The sequence below is a fragment of the Homo sapiens genome, chromosome 15 (assembly GCF_000001405.40).
Source record: "Homo sapiens chromosome 15, GRCh38.p14 Primary Assembly".
Classification (NCBI taxonomy): Eukaryota; Metazoa; Chordata; class Mammalia; order Primates; family Hominidae; genus Homo; species Homo sapiens.
Window position 1 is genome coordinate 97,858,743 of NC_000015.10, and position 16,576 is coordinate 97,875,318.

At 41.5% G+C, this 16,576-nt stretch overlaps 1 long non-coding RNA gene across 2 annotated transcripts in view, besides 1 other annotated feature; it reads right to left on the minus strand.

The window, feature by feature from the left end:
* LINC00923 (long intergenic non-protein coding RNA 923) overlaps nucleotides 1–15,687 on the minus strand; it is a 131,814-nt gene extending 116,127 nt beyond the window's left edge. For both annotated transcript variants that reach the window (NR_024173.1, NR_024172.1), the window contains exon 1: nucleotides 15,211–15,687. This is a non-coding gene — a long non-coding RNA (long intergenic non-protein coding RNA 923). The remainder of the gene's footprint in view (nucleotides 1–15,210) is intronic.
* Nucleotides 9,203–9,403: a silencer, noted in NCBI's record as "peak2442 fragment used in MPRA reporter construct". NCBI's record gives its function as "represses an SCP1 promoter by STARR-seq MPRAs in K562 erythroleukemia cells {active_cell/tissue: K562}" and the evidence as "EXISTENCE:reporter gene assay evidence [ECO:0000049][PMID:32103011]".
* Nucleotides 15,688–16,576: the final 889 nt, after the last annotated feature.

The window sequence follows — 16,576 nt, forward strand, 5'->3', positions numbered from 1 at the left end:
GCATGGGATGTCAAGAAGAATAAAACAGAAACAGTGGGAAGAATTCAGAGAGCTCCATGAGACCGATGGAGATGACCACGGATGCTGCTCAGGGTCCCTGTGCTGTCATTAGCAAAAGGCACTATCCCAGCCTCAGAGGACATGCTCACTCATTACCAATGTACAAAAATGGAATATGCCTAGGGGTTCAAGAGCAATGAATCAGCAGTCCATCTTCCCAATTGTCTGTCTCAATTGTTTCCAGTTCCAGAAGCACCTGGACTTCCAGATCCAGTTCCAGTTCCAGCTGGCAGCTGCTGAAGAGGCTGGGGCCTGCTCAGAGCCAAAGGAAGGAGGAAAACCAGGATGACAGCCCTTCCTCTCCTCCAAGTCTTGTCCTCTCTGCTCCTCCCAATTCCTAAAGCTGGAGAAGCAGGGATTATGCCCAGTTCCCTCCTCTTTCTCACCCCACTCCCTCAATCCAATCATCCCCATACTTTTCACTTCCTGATTTATGAATGACAAATATCTAACACTTGAAAATATTACTGTCACTTGCACACACATACTGCAGACATTAGCAATCAACAGCCATCTTCTCCACTGAACTTTGGAAATCTCCTTGTTCCAGAGTGTCTGGCATCTGTCTCCAATCCTTCATCGTCTTTCTATGGTTACTGTGGCTATTCCAGTACAGGCCCACCTTGGCGCTCACCTTCCTGCTTCTCTACCTTGTCTCCCTCAAGCACTACCTTATCCCCACAAGAGAATTCCATCTAAAAAGTAGATGTCACCATGCCACCTCCCTGTTGGATATCCTTCCATCCTGCCATCTAGTAGCATCAAGTTCCAGAACCTGGGCACAGCCTGCAAAGACTCCCAGGCACTAACAAGATAATAATACATATGGTGGGCAAAGAAGGAGCTTCCACTAAATACCATTAGGTTTCAGCCTATTATGGAAATATTCAGTTTCTTCTTAAGATTAGACTAATAAGATTGCCTACTTTATAGAGTTCTTGTAAGCGTTAATCTTCTGTTGTTATCACTATTAATTTTTGGACATTGGTTAACCCACAAAGCCTGCCCCTCTTGCTCCTGCAGCAAGTTGCCCATCATCTCTGCCCTGATGCACTGCTTCTCAACGCCACGCCTTTGCTGGGACCTGAACCACTCATGCTGCACCGCCATCCCCCTTCTCCACCTACGCTGCCCTGGCTAATGCTTCCTAATCTCTAATACACAATGTGAGGTCACCTCCTCTGAGATGCCCTCCCTGGCCCTCAGATTCCCACTTGAGCATAAATTTCTATTACCATGCCCACCATGTGTACTATTATCTTGTTAGTGTCTGTCTCTCCCTTAATCTCTGGTGTCCCAGAGGTCAGGAACTAACTCTTTATCTTTATATTAATAGTTCCAGTTTCTAAATAAGTTTCCAGCACATCATAGAAAATTAGTAATGATAACAGAAGATTAATGCTTACAACAACTCTATAGAATGGGCAATCTTATTAGCCTAATTTTAAAGAAAAAGAAACTGAGTCCTTGAGAAATTAATAATTTGCTCAAGGGTCAAGCCAGTGATCAGGCCTGCAATAGTCTGATACCAGAAAATAAGTTATTACACTCTACAAAATAATTATATTAGGATCCGCTTGGAACTGCAATGGACTATCGAGGCACCCAGTGGAAGCTCCTTCTATGCCCTTCATGAACGCTTTGGGTGGGTAACACCTTATCTATCACAAGAGAGAAGATTTAGAGCACCAGGGGGCTTTCCATAACACCTTTCTACCTTAAGACTCTCTACAGCCCGCCATTGTGTTTAGGTCATAGTCATATAGAAACAACACCCTTTGCTTTTCCCCTTCTTCGGTGTTGGATTTAGGTACCCAACTGTTACTTAACTTGATGCAGGATGTTGGACAGAACACATCTGAATTTTGATAGTAACCTTGGCACCCAATGTCTACCGGCCTTGGAAACATCAGGTAACTTTGGCCATGATTCAAGGAAGATATTTTAGATTCCAAGACCCCAAGAACTCACACAAAGAAGATACAGTCACAAAACGATAACTACAAAATTCTGCACCACTCACTTCTCTTGTCTCTTTTTCTGAAAGCTCCGTTTGACATATAATGAGGGTTGCTATGAGGAGAGGAACTAAACTGGGAGGGAGTTGAACACAGTAAAAATATAGAAAAGCCCATATAAACTTCAGAAAATGTGCTCATCACAGCTGGCCTTGAAATAGATGCTGTATTATCTGTTACCAGATAGATCAAGACTATTTTACAAGATACATTCATAAATGAGAGAAAATGTCCTATGGCCTGGAATCTAGCACAGTGCAGGGCACATAGAGGGTGCTCCCAAACTATTTGCTGAATGAATGAAGAGTAGAATGACCAGGTGAGTAGTTATGCTGTTTATTGTTAACATTTATTAATATGGATGATTAACATCTATTGAACTACAAATAGAAACTAGAGAAAGAACCCAAAAGAATTTCCTACTAATGGGGGGATATTAAACTGCTGGACTGGCTCTCCCTAGTAGTCAGAGTGAATTGTTGAATTGTTACTAATACATCAAAGGGATGGGGTAGGCTCATCTGCTAAGCTGCTGGTCAACTGTGCACATAGTTTAACTCATTCTAAATCCAGCATTCAGCTTGCTAAACTCATTTTAGTTAAAAATCCCACTAATAGTTGTAAAAGTGCCCAAGTTCTCACAAAGTTTGGAAATCACTTCTGCTCCTTATTATCTCAGTAAGTAGAGCCAAATTAGGAGTTTCTAGCCTCTCATTTTATTCTGTATTCATGCACATTTCAAAGTCAAATCCCTCTCTAAAATTTTCATACTGTGAATAAAATAAGAAAATACCTCTATTGCAATAAATATGCATTAAGAAAAAAGATTAAAAGAGTTCAGGAATAGCTTAAAACAGAATAATACAGTGCACTTTGAAACGTCAGAAAACAAATCTTGATGAGTTGACAGTTAAATGCATTAGAGGAAATCATCTTCTCCTAGCAGTTTTGGACCTTGAAACTCTGCATAAGTGCAAAAATCATTGAATCTCCAGCTGCTAACTTAGCTCCCATTTGGTCTGTCAATGCAACAATTCAGAGAAGCTCTGCCCGTGGTCTCACTGGAAATCTTGATTCATATTTAAACAAGTTCCAATGTGGAGTTGGTGCACAGGATGTATCTTTATCAAGTCAAGCTTTTCATTATGTGTTTTTGCAACAAATGGGCCCATTTTAACACAGGATGTGCACAGCAGTCCATCACACAGAGTACATCTGTCATTCACCAGGCACCACCCAATAAAAGTGCTTAACATGCTCTGCTTCTCAGTTAAAGCAGAAATCACAGTTGTTTGGGGAGAATGGTTTGTCAGCTAATTTCTGTCAACCCAACAGCCTTAGCCATGAGAGCTGGAATTAAAGTGCACAAAAGCCTCATAAAAGGACAATGGTTCTATCAACTAATAAAGTTGGATTTTTGGCATGTTAAAGACAATAGATTATACAAAGGAAAGAAAAAAAAAGCTTTACAGAAGGGCTAACTCTTCCCTTCCGGCTACATCCTCTGGACCATGGGATTCTCAGGAGCTACAACACAGATAAAAGAAAAGCTTGATTTGCCCCACAGACTAACAAAGAAATGAAACTTTTTTTTTTAAAAAAAGAAAGCTTTATTGAAGTATAATTAAAGTACAAGAAACTTCACATTTTAAAGTGTAAAATTTGATGGTTGTGGTATGTGTATACGCATGTGAAAACACTACCATAATCAAGAAAATGAAGAGATCTGTTAGGTCTAATCATTTTCTTGTTCCCTTTGTCATCCTTTCTACCTCAGCCTGCCCCACCCAACCCTTCACCCTCCCTCTCAACCCTCTTACCTGCCCCCTTCACAAAAAACCACCAAACTGTTTTCTAAAGTGGCTGCTTCCATTGAAAATTGTAACCAGCCCTGCATGAAAGTTCTAGTTACTCCACATTCTCACCAACACTTCGTGTCGTCATATTTCATTTTAGCTATTCTATTTGTTGTGTAATATTATCTCATTGTATATTGTATATTTAATTTGCATTTTCTAAGGACTAATAATGTTGAGCATCTTTTCATGTGTTTACTTGCCATTCATATATCTTCTTTACCTGCCATTCATATATCTACTCAAATATTTGGTCCACTTTTTTATTGAGTTTTTTTCATATTGAATTTTGAAAGTTCTTTAGATATTCTGAATTCAAGTCCTTTATCAGATATATTCTTTACAAATATTTTTCCTAGCCTGTGACTTGCTTTTTTTCATCCTCTTAACCATGTCATTTGAAAAGCAAAATTTTTAAATTTTGATGAAGTCCAATGTATCATTTTTTTTCTTTTATGGATCATGCATTTGTGTTTTTCTAAAGAAATGTTTGTCTAACTCAAAATGCTAAAATTTTTACCTGTTTTCTTTTATAAGTGTTATAGTTTAGGTATTATACATAAGACTATAATTCATTTCGAGATATTTTATATTTTTCCATATTATTATGAATAGAAATCCTTTTTAATTTCAATTTACTTTTGTTTGTTGCTAGTGTATAGAATTGCAACCATATTCTGCATATTAATCCTGTTGCTGAAATCTTGCTAAAATTACTACTTTTAGCAGCTTTTTTGGAGACTCCATTGGATGTTTTACATAGAAAATTATATATGTGAATAAAGCTATATTTCTTCTTTTCTAATATAAATGCTTTTTTTTTTTTTTTGCCCTATTGCTGTGGCAAGAGCTGCCAGTAAATTGTTGAATAAAAATGTTGAGAGCTAACATCTTTGTCTTGTTCTTGAACTTAGGGGGAAAGGACTCAGTCTTTTATCTTCAGTATGATTGTTAGTTGGAAGTTTATAGTAGATTCTCTTTCTTGGGTTTAGGAAGTTCCCTTCTTTTCCTAGTTTGTTGAGAGTTTTCACCAGGAATTGATGGTGAAATTTTGTCAAAATGCTTTATCTGTATTTAATTAGATGATCATACAGTTTTTAAATTCATTTTACTAATACAATGAATGACATCAATTGATATTTTCCAATGTTAAAACAACCCTACATTCCTGAAATAAACCCCACTTTGTCTTGTGTATTATTCTTATGTATTATTGGGTTCAACTTGACAACATTTTGTTTACAATTCTTCCATACATTTCCATAAGATACACTAGTATTCTGTTTTCTTTTCTGGTAGTATCTTTATCTGATTTTGGTATCTGTGCCTAAAAAATTTCATTTAAAAATATTCCCTCCTTTCCTCTTTTTCAATTTTCTTTTAGACTTTTATAAAAAAATTATTTTCAAAAATGCTTAGTAAAATTTACTAGTAAAGCCATCTGAGTTTTTTTTTCTGAGAATGTTTTAAACTACAAATTACATTTCTTTAGTATATGTAAAGCCATTCTTGTGTGGTCATTGTTAATTTGTCACTTTCAAAAAAGTTGACAACTAAGAATCTAAGTTGTCAAAAATATTTTCATTAAATTGTTCATAATATTGTCTTCAACCCAGGTCACTGGCACCCAACCCTGTGAGTTTTTCTCTAGGTATACTGTATCTGCTATTTCTATACGGGGGTTAGGCATCTAAACGAAAATTGCTATAAAATGGCAATTTAACCCAGCAACTAGGTTACGAGCATGAGAACACTTACTTAACACCAAGAAGTATGTAGGTGAGAGCCTTTGTTACCTGTTTGCATAAAAATCACAAATTGTGACTTGCTAAACATATGATGTCATTTATTTGGACTTATATTAAACTATATATATATATATATATATATATGTATATATAAAATACTGAATTAAACTTACTTGAACAATTCTGTATTAGCTGCCCAATGTCTGTGGAGACTGAAAGAAAGCCATCAGGGCAGGATATAAAAATAAATATATATTTAATATTACCTAACACTTAGTACTGCCAGATAAATTTGTTGTTTTTGAAATATAACTGGAAAGTTACAATATGCACATGGAGACATATAGAATGTACATTTTTTCCAGTTCCTTCTAGTACAATGTTTATTATTGCAGTTCTGATACTGTAAATGATGAGAGGAGGTCCTATCATGCCATTGTCCCAATCAGCTTCTTGGAATTAATAATACCATGAATATGCTCATACTTTGAAAAGAAAAGCACTTTGAGCAGTCAGAGCTCCAGCATTTGAACATTTTGTTACATGTAGATACATCCAACTTTACTGCTTTTCATGAGGTTCTATGAAGGAATAGGAAAAAAGAATTCATTTTTGAAAAATGGCTCTAGAGTGACTCTCTGTTAGAGAAATTCTATTTTCCTATAGACTTATGTGACCAACTCAGCGATGCATTCCCCAGAAAGAAGCCCCCAAGTGTACATATTAGAAAACATTTCAGGGAGGTGGCCAAAGGAGTGGCCAGATCCCTCCTACAGGATCACAGGCTAACAACTGCCTCTAAGGTCTTCAAAGCATCTGGTTTCAGTAGAAATTCACCAATCTGGATTTTCCATCCCTAGGTTAGGCTTCCTGCTTCTCCGCCACTCCATCTGAGGCCCTAAGAGTTGCAGCCAAACCTGGTGAGCCATGACTCCAGACTCCTGGCTCCCAACACTCATGCCACTGCAGCTCAGTCCAGGGTTTAGAATCTGCTGCTTACCAAGCTTGTCCTGCTCTGGGAGCTTCTAAAGGAGGGGCTCTGGCTCCAGAAAAGAAGAAGGAACTGACAAGGAGTATAATGGAGCACCCACTGCATAGCTGCACTGGCTAAGAACATTCATATTCATTATGTCTTCTTATTTTCAAGGCACTGTGAGGTAAATATTATCCCAGTGTTCTGGAAAGAAGTCTAACCCTTAGATAAGCTAGTATGGCAAGTGTGGATCAAGTTCATCTGCCTTTAAAGACCATGCTTTTTTCTATGCCCTCCTATGGTTATCTGTATATCATCAGCATCCAAAATACTCCATAATCCCCATAGAATTCCAGTTCTTCATCATCAGTGAATGTTGGCAAATCCTGTCTCCCATCTCAGAAACTAAATCTGATAAACTTGCTGGATGGAATCTTGGATACTTCAAGGATTTTTAGAGAAGAAATTTAGAAAGAAAAATAAACTTCATATAAATCAGAGCCCTTAAAACTATTCTCGTATGTCCATTAGGGAATACAGAAATTATATATTTCAAAACATAATTTGATTCTATCTCAAATGCTTGAGTTAAAGGTGGGATTAATTCAGATATTTGGACTACATAACCCCTCATTTGACAATGGAAGATTGGGGTGAAAGGTAACCATGTCATATTTTATTGCAGTGTTGCTTCTCGCTTTAATCCCTCTCACTATTGCTAGTGCTGGCTGCCCTGACCTGGACATCAGAGAAACACCCTCCAGGGGCTGAGTACATGAGCAAATCCAAGTTAATCAGGATTTCTTTTTTTAGTTTATTTGTTATATTTGCCTGGCAAAAGATATTCTGTACCCAGTATAAGCTCTAAAAGCAAGATCCCTTTCAAATAAAAAAATGGAATGACTTATGATAGAAGAGGCAATGCAAGTAATAATAATAGTAATAATTTTATTATGATCCAAAATAAAATTTTTAAAAGGCAAAGAAATAAAAAAAAAAAAAAGCCAGTCTACGAAGTTGCACCCATTCAGAGAAGAATGTCTACCTTCTGGCCATTTCAAAATGGTACCAGACCCTGTTATAGCCACTCAAGCCCTGCCCTGCCTCATCCGATGCATTAGGAATTCTGCAAATGAGTGTTCATGGTTCACAGGGGGTTCCATCATAGAAAACTAGTTGTTGATCTTTGGATGCCTGCAGGCCTGCAATCTGTGCTACAAGTTTATCCCTCCTAGGGAAAAATTAAAGAAAAAAAAACAGAAAAGGGGAAAAAAGGAAGGAAGGAGGAGACAAGAGGATGGAACCAATACAAGCATCTGTAACAAGCTAATTGGACCCTTGGGGGCCACCCAGCAGGCACAAAATTAAAACAAACAGAGCTACGCATTGTGCACTTTCAGGACCGTAGCCACCCTGGGTCTATCAACTTTTCCCCGGACTCCTCCCTTGACCGTCATTTTTAAAGGACCTAATTATGGGTCTTTCTGAAGGATCACAAGCCAGTTTTCATCTAAAAAGAATAAGGTGTTTTGCCTCCAAACCAGAGACACTGTTAGAAGTTGGTAATTAGTATGACTTGTTAATGGAGTTTGGCTGTGATTAGGCGGTGATTGAGTGTGAGTTTGGTGCCTGTCAGTGGGTAAGCCTGGGAGGGTGAGAGATGTTTAATGAGACACCTGTTGTTGGGGCCCCACTGGGGTTTGTTGCAGCTGATTGGCACTTGGATGCAGCACGCTCCATGATGGGGGCTGGGCTGAGCGTGGCAGGTGGTTGGCACCACAGCAGAGCCTGCCGATCCCTCTAAGTCAGGGCTGGCTGTGTTTCCTGAGCTGTTTCTCCACGGCTGCCGTTCCATGTCCCCACGTGATCCAGGCTGACTATTGCTATACTCCAACTCCCAGCGGGCACTGCAACCACCATGCAGGAAAAGATCCCAGGTATCCATGACCCCCGCTCCCCACCAAATACCAGGCAGGGCACTGGGCACTCCTCCCCTCATCCAGCCTTTCCTGTCCCCAGACTGTCGATGAGGAAGCTGAGGCAGTAGACATTAAATAGTTTAACACAGCAAGTTCACACAGCCACCTCCAGGATCAGAGGTACTGTACTTAGAAACAGCCCCTCTCATGCCTTAAAAGGATCCTTGGGAAACATGTCAAAATGCATGTTTTGGTGAGTAGTTCAGGTGTGGGGCCTGAGAGATCCTAAGAGTTTCCGGGGGCACCCATGCTGCTGGTGCAGGGACTAGACCTTGAATGCAAGTCTATAGGAAACCTTCCTGTATTTGAGATAATCAGAACTTACAAAAGATACATGGTTATTGTGCATTTCAACTTTATGATGAAAACCATATGATGCTTTTCAAGGAAGAGAGAGAAGGGAAATGCATAATACCTTGCCTAAAAACAGAGCCGGATGCTAAAGATGTTCTGGAACTCTCTACCTAAGCCCATGGTGGAGGGGGGCTGGAGGACACAGCACAAAAATGTGAGGCAAACCTGAGAAGTTAGAGGAGAACCACACTCCACACTCAATGCACTGGCAGAACATTTCCAGGAGGGAAGAAGGAGTCTCGTCTCAAGGACTTTGTTCTGTCAACGATGCTGAAGAGCTGGCTGCAACTATCCACCTTCACAGCTGACCCTGTTCCCGCCTGCTGGTGCCCTGTCCACACCCACTTGACAAACCACACCCTTTCCTGGTCACTAACCAGGGCCTGAGGAGCAAACAGCTCTTTGTTCTTTCCCGACATTGTTGCAGGCTGAACACTGAATCAAAACACATGCTGGAAGTCACAAAGGTGCTGCAGCACCTGGACCAGGTTAGGTTCAGGTCAGATCCAGATGGAAGAGCCAGACCTCCACCCTGACCTTCACAGAGATCCCGCTTACAGTTCCTGCCACATTGTCTCCAACATTCAATGAAGTTTTTCTGAGACTGAAAAAAAGACTGACAGCCTCCAGCAAAGGTTTAGACTAATTTGGATAAAGCTTAGAGAGCACAAAAATACGTAAAGAACAGAGCAATTTCGTGTGCTTTCAGGTCCCAAAACGAATATTAAAAACAGATAAAATTTACTTGGGTAATTCACAAAAAATATTTTTTAAAAATGCTTTGTCTTTAATCCCATCAATTATGGAGGGTAAAAATAGGACTTCGTTCTAGTTATCCAGATAACCATCTCATTTCTTGGCTTCACTTGACTGAGGAAGACCTGGCCTGAAGAAAATATGGGTCATTCAGTACATTTTCCTTGTATTAAACGATTAGGGTGTTCATTTATTTTTCTAAAGAAATAACATAGTTAACTGATGTGGACAATTTTACTTTAAATGTGATCAAAAAATAATTATTACATTAAATTGCAAAAAATAATTATTATATTAAATTTGATCTAGTGAAATTCAAGATTCAAAAAGTAAGTTATTTCAGTATTTTTGTATGGATTTGCTTTCTTTACATTTTTAACCATGACATCAGAGTTTAAGGTGTTTTTTTGTGTTATCTGCACCACATTTTCCAATAGAAATGTAGGCTTTAGACTTCTAGAAGGATATGGAAGTTTCAGATCAGTCTCTCAATAGGGATTCAGTATTTTTTTTGGTGAATATGGGCAGAAGGGGCAGTCACGTGCCAGAAACTTACAGGAGATGCAGAGATGGCTTATGGAAATTTTTTTTTAACTGTTAAAATTTTCAAGTCCCAAAAGGTGCTACATCTCAAGGATCCATATGAAAAAAAGGGAAGTGCAAGATGCTTTATGGCAGAGCGAATAAACAGCAGATCTGAAGACAGATGGATTTAAGGGAGAGCCTGGTTCTGCCAAGTCCTGGCTGTGTAGCCTTGGACCGGTGGTGTACCTTCTTTGGGCCTCAGTTTCTTCATTCATACGTTGGAAGCAATAATATATCTTGAGATGTTGTTATGATAGTTGGACATAAGGTATGGAAAGTTCCTGGGGTATGGCAGACACTCGATGGAAACTGATGTGGGTTTCTCTGGCTCGCTGTCTAACCAGGATCATTTCCCACGTGGCACAACCCCACCAGCACTACACTGCTAAACTTGCCCCGTCAGCAGGCAGCTTGGGGTGTATCTATTTAGCCATTTCATTCAACATAGGTGAACCAAAACAAAGCCCATCCAGGAGCTATCTTCTCACCTGGACCATTGCCATAGCTTTCTAACCAGTCTCCTTGTGCAACTCCCACTCCCCTACCTTCGCCACTGTCTATCGTCTACATAGAAATCAAACTGATCCTTTTAGTTTATTTCTTTTTATTATTTTTTATTTTATTTTATTCTTTTTTTTGGAGATGGAGTCTTGACCCCAAGAGGTCAAGGCTTCAGTGAGCTATAATCATGCCATTGCACTCCAGTCTGGAAAGCTTGACCTCTTGGGCTTAAGTAATCCATCTTAGCCTCCTGAGGAGCTGGGATTACAGGTGTGTGCCACTACACCCAGTTAATTTTTTTTTTAATAGAGATGGGGTCTTGCCATGTTCCCCAGGCTGGTCTTGAACTCCTGGGCTCAAGCCATCCTCCTGCCTTGGCCTCCCAAAGTGCTGGGATTACACTGCACCTGGCCAAAGTGATCCTTTCAAAATATAAATCAGACCTCGACTTATGTCACACAGAGTGACAAAGTCCTTTCACTTGCCCAAGGCAAGTGAAGAGTGGCTGCCTGGTCCAGCCACTTGTTGCCCCTCTGACCTCTCATCCTGGACCTCACCTGCTGGCCCCCTCTGACCAGCCACTCTGAGTGCCACATGGGTCCTGAGCATGACACATTCATTCCTCACCTGCGTTGCCCTTACTGTTGCCCTGCTTAGAATGCTCTTGTTCCAGCACTCTGGCAAACTCACCCCCTTATCCCAACAGGTCTCTGCTCACATTACAGAGCTGGGTGCAGGCTCTCCTACATACATTTGCAATTCACCCAGGCCTCCCCATAGCATGCATCAACTCTAATGAGTAATATTTGGTTATCCCTAAACTTTAATATCTTGCTCCCTCTGATAAGGGTAAAGACTTTGTTTTGTTCTTTGCTGAATCCCCAGCGACTAAAACTATTACCAGGCACACCATTTTTAAAAACCTGATGAATACATGAATAAATAAAGGAATAAATGAATGAAGAATGAGTATCTGGGCGGGGCTCAGTGGCTCACGCCTGTAATCCCAGCACTTAGGGAGGCCGAGGCTAGCCAATCACCTGAGGTCAAGAGTTTGAGACCAGACTGGTCAACGTGGTGAAACCTCATCCCTACTAAAAAAAAAAAAAAAAAAAAAAAATAGCCAGGCGTGGTGGTGTATGCCTGTAATCCCAGCTACTCAGGGGGCTAAGGCAGGAGAATTGCTTGAACCTGGAAAGCGGAGGTTGCAGTGAGCAGAGATCACACCACTGCACTCCAGCCTCGGCAACAGAATGAGACTCCGTCTCAAAAAAAGAAAAAAGAAAAGAAGAATGAGTTTCTGACAAATAGGGGGTCCAACATGACTTTGTGGAATGGCTGAACAGAATTGGTTCTTTTAATAAGGCTTTTCTCTAAAATAAGCAGCAGCCCCCTAAAGGGCAGGAAACTGATCACATGACTACAGCATGTTCCAGCTGCAGGAACAGGAGTCAAAAAGACTCAGCCTGATGAACATAAAATCAAAGCCTAGAAGAGAAAACTAATGAGGGGCAAGAAGAACTTGAATCCAGGCCCAAGTCTTCAGGCCTTAGCTTGACTGTTGCCTTGTCCTTGCTGCCCCTTCTGGTGGACCTGATGCACCCTAAACACTCCTGGGCCATGAGCTAAGGCTCAAAGCATATTGGTCACATGAGTGTCTGAAGACGGCCTCTGTGAGTCCCTGCAGATTTCCTTACACATTTCACAAGGAAGGGCAATGCCTTCTTTGTGCCTCAGACCAGAAGAGTGAAGGTTGACAGCCTTGGAGTAATTCCCAGGAAAGCTGCCTGGGAGAAAATGCCACCATGGGCTTTCTTCCTGATGTTGGTTTGGTAGGCAATGGCCCCAAGATCCTCCTGAGGCCTCTAGCCAGGAGGGATGTGTGGGATGCCTCTGCCAGTGTTTGCCCCATGCAAGTTCCATGCAGAAAAGATTCATGGGTCCCAAGGAGACAGAACTGAGAGCACCCAGGCTAGAGAGCAGAGATGCAGAGAACCCAGCCCACGTGTAGAGAAAGCCCCCTCCCTGTCCTATGGTAAGGAGCCCTCATCCCCCACCAATGCAGGGTGGAAGATGGAGATGGAGATGTTTTTTTTTTTTTTTTTTTTTTTTTTTGAGACGGAGTCTCGCTCTGTCGCCCAGGCTGGACTGCGGACTGCAGTGGCGCAATCTCGGCTCACTGCAAGCTCCGCTTCCCGGGTTCACGCCATTCTCCTGCCTCAGCCTCCCGAGTAGCTGGGACTACAGGCGCCCGCCACCGCGCCCGGCTAATTTTTTGTATTTTTAGTAGAGACGGGGTTTCACCTTGTTAGCCAGGATGGTCTCGATCTCCTGACCTCATGATCCACCCGCCTCGGCCTCCCAAAGTGCTGGGATTACAGGCGTGAGCCACCGCGCCCGGCCGGAGATGTTTTTTGAGAACCCACCAACCTCAATCACAGACTGAGCTCTGAGGCATGGCAGTCAGAGGCTGAAAACATCCACAGAGAGTCACCAGAGTCAGGATACAGAAAGGAAAGATCTCGCCACAGGTGTGTCGGGTTAAGGAGAGGGTCAGGGGAAGGCAGGCAATGCAAGGAGATGAGTCATGCGGATGAGCCCCAACCAGAAACCATGGCCTGGCAGCCTTGACCAGGAAAGCCTGTCAGAACGCCATCGTGCTTCACTGAATATTCTCTGCCTGGGATTATATTCAAATTAACCTTATTATAGTAAACTGCATTTCTAGTGCACATTTCAGAGTTTGAGTTTAATCATTCACAAATAATCTCTTTTTCTACCTTAAATTTGAAGTTAAAAAACCCTTCGAGGGATGTGAAGGACCTCTTCAAGAAGAACTACAAACCACTGCTCAAGAAAATAAGAGGACACAAATGGAAAAACTTTCCATGCTCACGAATACGAAGAATCAATATTGTGAAAATGGCCATATGGCCCAAAGTAATTTACAGATTCAATGCTATTCCCATCAAGCTACCAGTGACTTTCGTTGCAGAATTAGAAAAAAAACTACTTTAAATTTCATATGGAACCAAAAAAGAGCCCCCATCGCCAAGACAATCCTAAGCAAAAAGAACAAAGCTGAAGGCATCACGCTACCTGACTTCAAACTATACCACAAGGCTACAGTAACCAAAGCAGCATGGTACTGGTACCAAAACAGATATGTAGACCAATGGAACAGAACAGACACCTCAGGAATAACACCATGTATCTACAACCATCTGATCTTTGACAAACCTGACAAAAACAAGCAATGGGGAAAGGATTACCTATTTAATAAATGGTGCTGGGGAAACTGGCTAGCCATACACAGAAAACAGAAACTGGACCCTTTCCTTACATCTTATACAAAAATTAATTCAAGATGGATTAAAGACTTAAATATAAAACCCAAAACCATAAAAACCCTAGAAGAAAAAGCCCTTCAAGCTACCCAGCATTTTCAAGAGCTATATGGGATTGATGGATATTTACTGTCTGTATTATAATCAAATCCCAGTGCATTGCCAGGAATTGGTAGAACTAAGAACTTTCAGGATGTAGCCTTAAGTAGGCGTATGCCTGCCAAGGTGCATACACATTGCATTAAAGTACTGTGCAATGTGCCAGACATTGTATATGTTATCTAATTTAATCCAGAATGGTAGACATGATTCTCTCCATTTTTATAGATAAGGAAAGTTGAAGAAAATAGGTGATTATATTAGTCAGCTAGTGCTGTCATAACAAAATACCACAAACTGGATGGGGCCTAACCAACACAACTTTATTTCTCACAGTTCTGGAGGCTGGAAGTTCAAGGTCAAGGTATCAGCAAGGCTGGTTTCTTCCTGAGGCTTCTCTCCTTGGCCTGCAAATGCTAACCTTCTGGCTGGGTCCTCACATGGTGCACACATCCCTGGTATCTCTGTGTGTCCAAACTGCCTCTTCGTACAAGGACACCAGTCAGATTGGATTAGGGTCCACCTTAGCCTCATTTTAACTTAATCACCTCTTTAAAGGCCTTATTCCAAATACAGGCATATTCTAAAGTACTGAGGATTGGACAGCAAAATGTGAATTTGGGTGAAGGTGGCATAATTCAGTGCATCAGGGGCCATACACTCTGTTTTGCCTGGGACACTTGATCTAAGCTCATTGTCCCAATGTAATATGACTAAATAGCATATTCTTTCAACCTTAAAATTGTCCCATTTGAAAGACCAATTCTACACTCACTCTACTATGACAGCAGCAGGATTAGCAAAACATCTCAAGAACAAAGAGATGGAGTTCAACTCTGTTCTACACGCCAAATCTGCCTGCCCCCTCCTGCCCCTTAAAAACCTCCTTTGTAAAAATATATGCCCCTTCCCCCTACCCCAGGGGACTGCTTACCTGGCGTTTTACAGGACATAGGTAAAGAAAGCCAGAAAGGCACAGTGACTTGGGAGGCAACAGGTGGTGTACAGGACCTGCCACAGCCCCGAACTGCCTCTTGCCAATTTCAAAATGAAGAGATGCTGTTTGAATGAACAGGAGCAAATGGGTCTTCTCCTTGTCCTCACTCCTCACTTTCGGCTTCACTGCTCCAAAATTAAAAACAAAAGCAAAAGCCTGTATCCAGGAGGACGCCATGAGAGTGCCTGACCGATCTTGGTGGACGTTCCCGCCAGAGCTCTGTGCCAGGCTGCCGGTGCTGTTTATTCTCCCTTGGCAGGCCCGCAGCATATGGTGCCTCCCTCACCTCTTCGGCGTCTTCCACGTCACATGCAGTGAGAGACTCCACTCTCCTGGGGGGTGTGTCGGGCCCCTCACTGGGCCTGTTGCTGTATCATCTGACAGATTACAGGCCGCATATTGCTGGGCTCTGCCTCTGTTGGGAGCCAGCTTAGTCATTTAACAGTTCATTCAGAGAGGGAACCAGGGTGCCCTGTGACTGCTGACGTGATGGATTTTGTCTGGGGAGGAAAGGAGGCACAGCCCTGCAAAAGTCTACAAATCCCATGGGTGGGCCAAACTTTGATGACTTGACCTAGTCGGCCCCAATTTATCATAATAAAATGAAAATAATATAATAGCTTCCACACAGTGAGTGCTTACCATGTGCTAGGCTTTGTGCTAAGATCTTTAAAGCCATATTTTAATCAAACCATGCAAACCTGTGAGGCTTGACTCACAGGCAGCAAGCGGCAAATTTGAACCCAGTTACGCCTCTCCCTCTGCAGCACTTGCTATCATGCTACCTCTTCCAGCATGTCTTCCAACCGTTATTAGGGTAAGCTTTCTAAAACGTGTATTTTCTAAAATGCACCAAAACTAATTAATACTAATATGACTTTTGTATTTAAAAAAAATCACTTATTCATATCTACAGTAAAGCATTCCAGAGTGCTAGTGGTTCCCAAAGAATTCTTCTTGGCGGGGTGCGGTGGCTTATGCCTGTAATCCCCGGACTTTGAGAGGCCGAGGAGGATTTCTTGAGTCCAGGAGTTCAAGACCAGCCTGGGCAATACAGCAAGATCCTGTCTCTATTTTTTTTTAAATAAAATAATTCTTCTTTCACAAAATATTAATAAATGTCCTGCCTTGGCGAGTCTTCCAACAAAAGTGGCTTTGTGGCCATCTGTGCTGGGAATACAGGGTTGTATTGGAAATGTTCTTTACTGCAGGACTTCTCTGAGCCTTTAATGTGTTTGCATTAATTGTGAAACTCCACAAGAACACAGTATGCAGTGTTTCCCAGACTGAGTCCCACACAGAA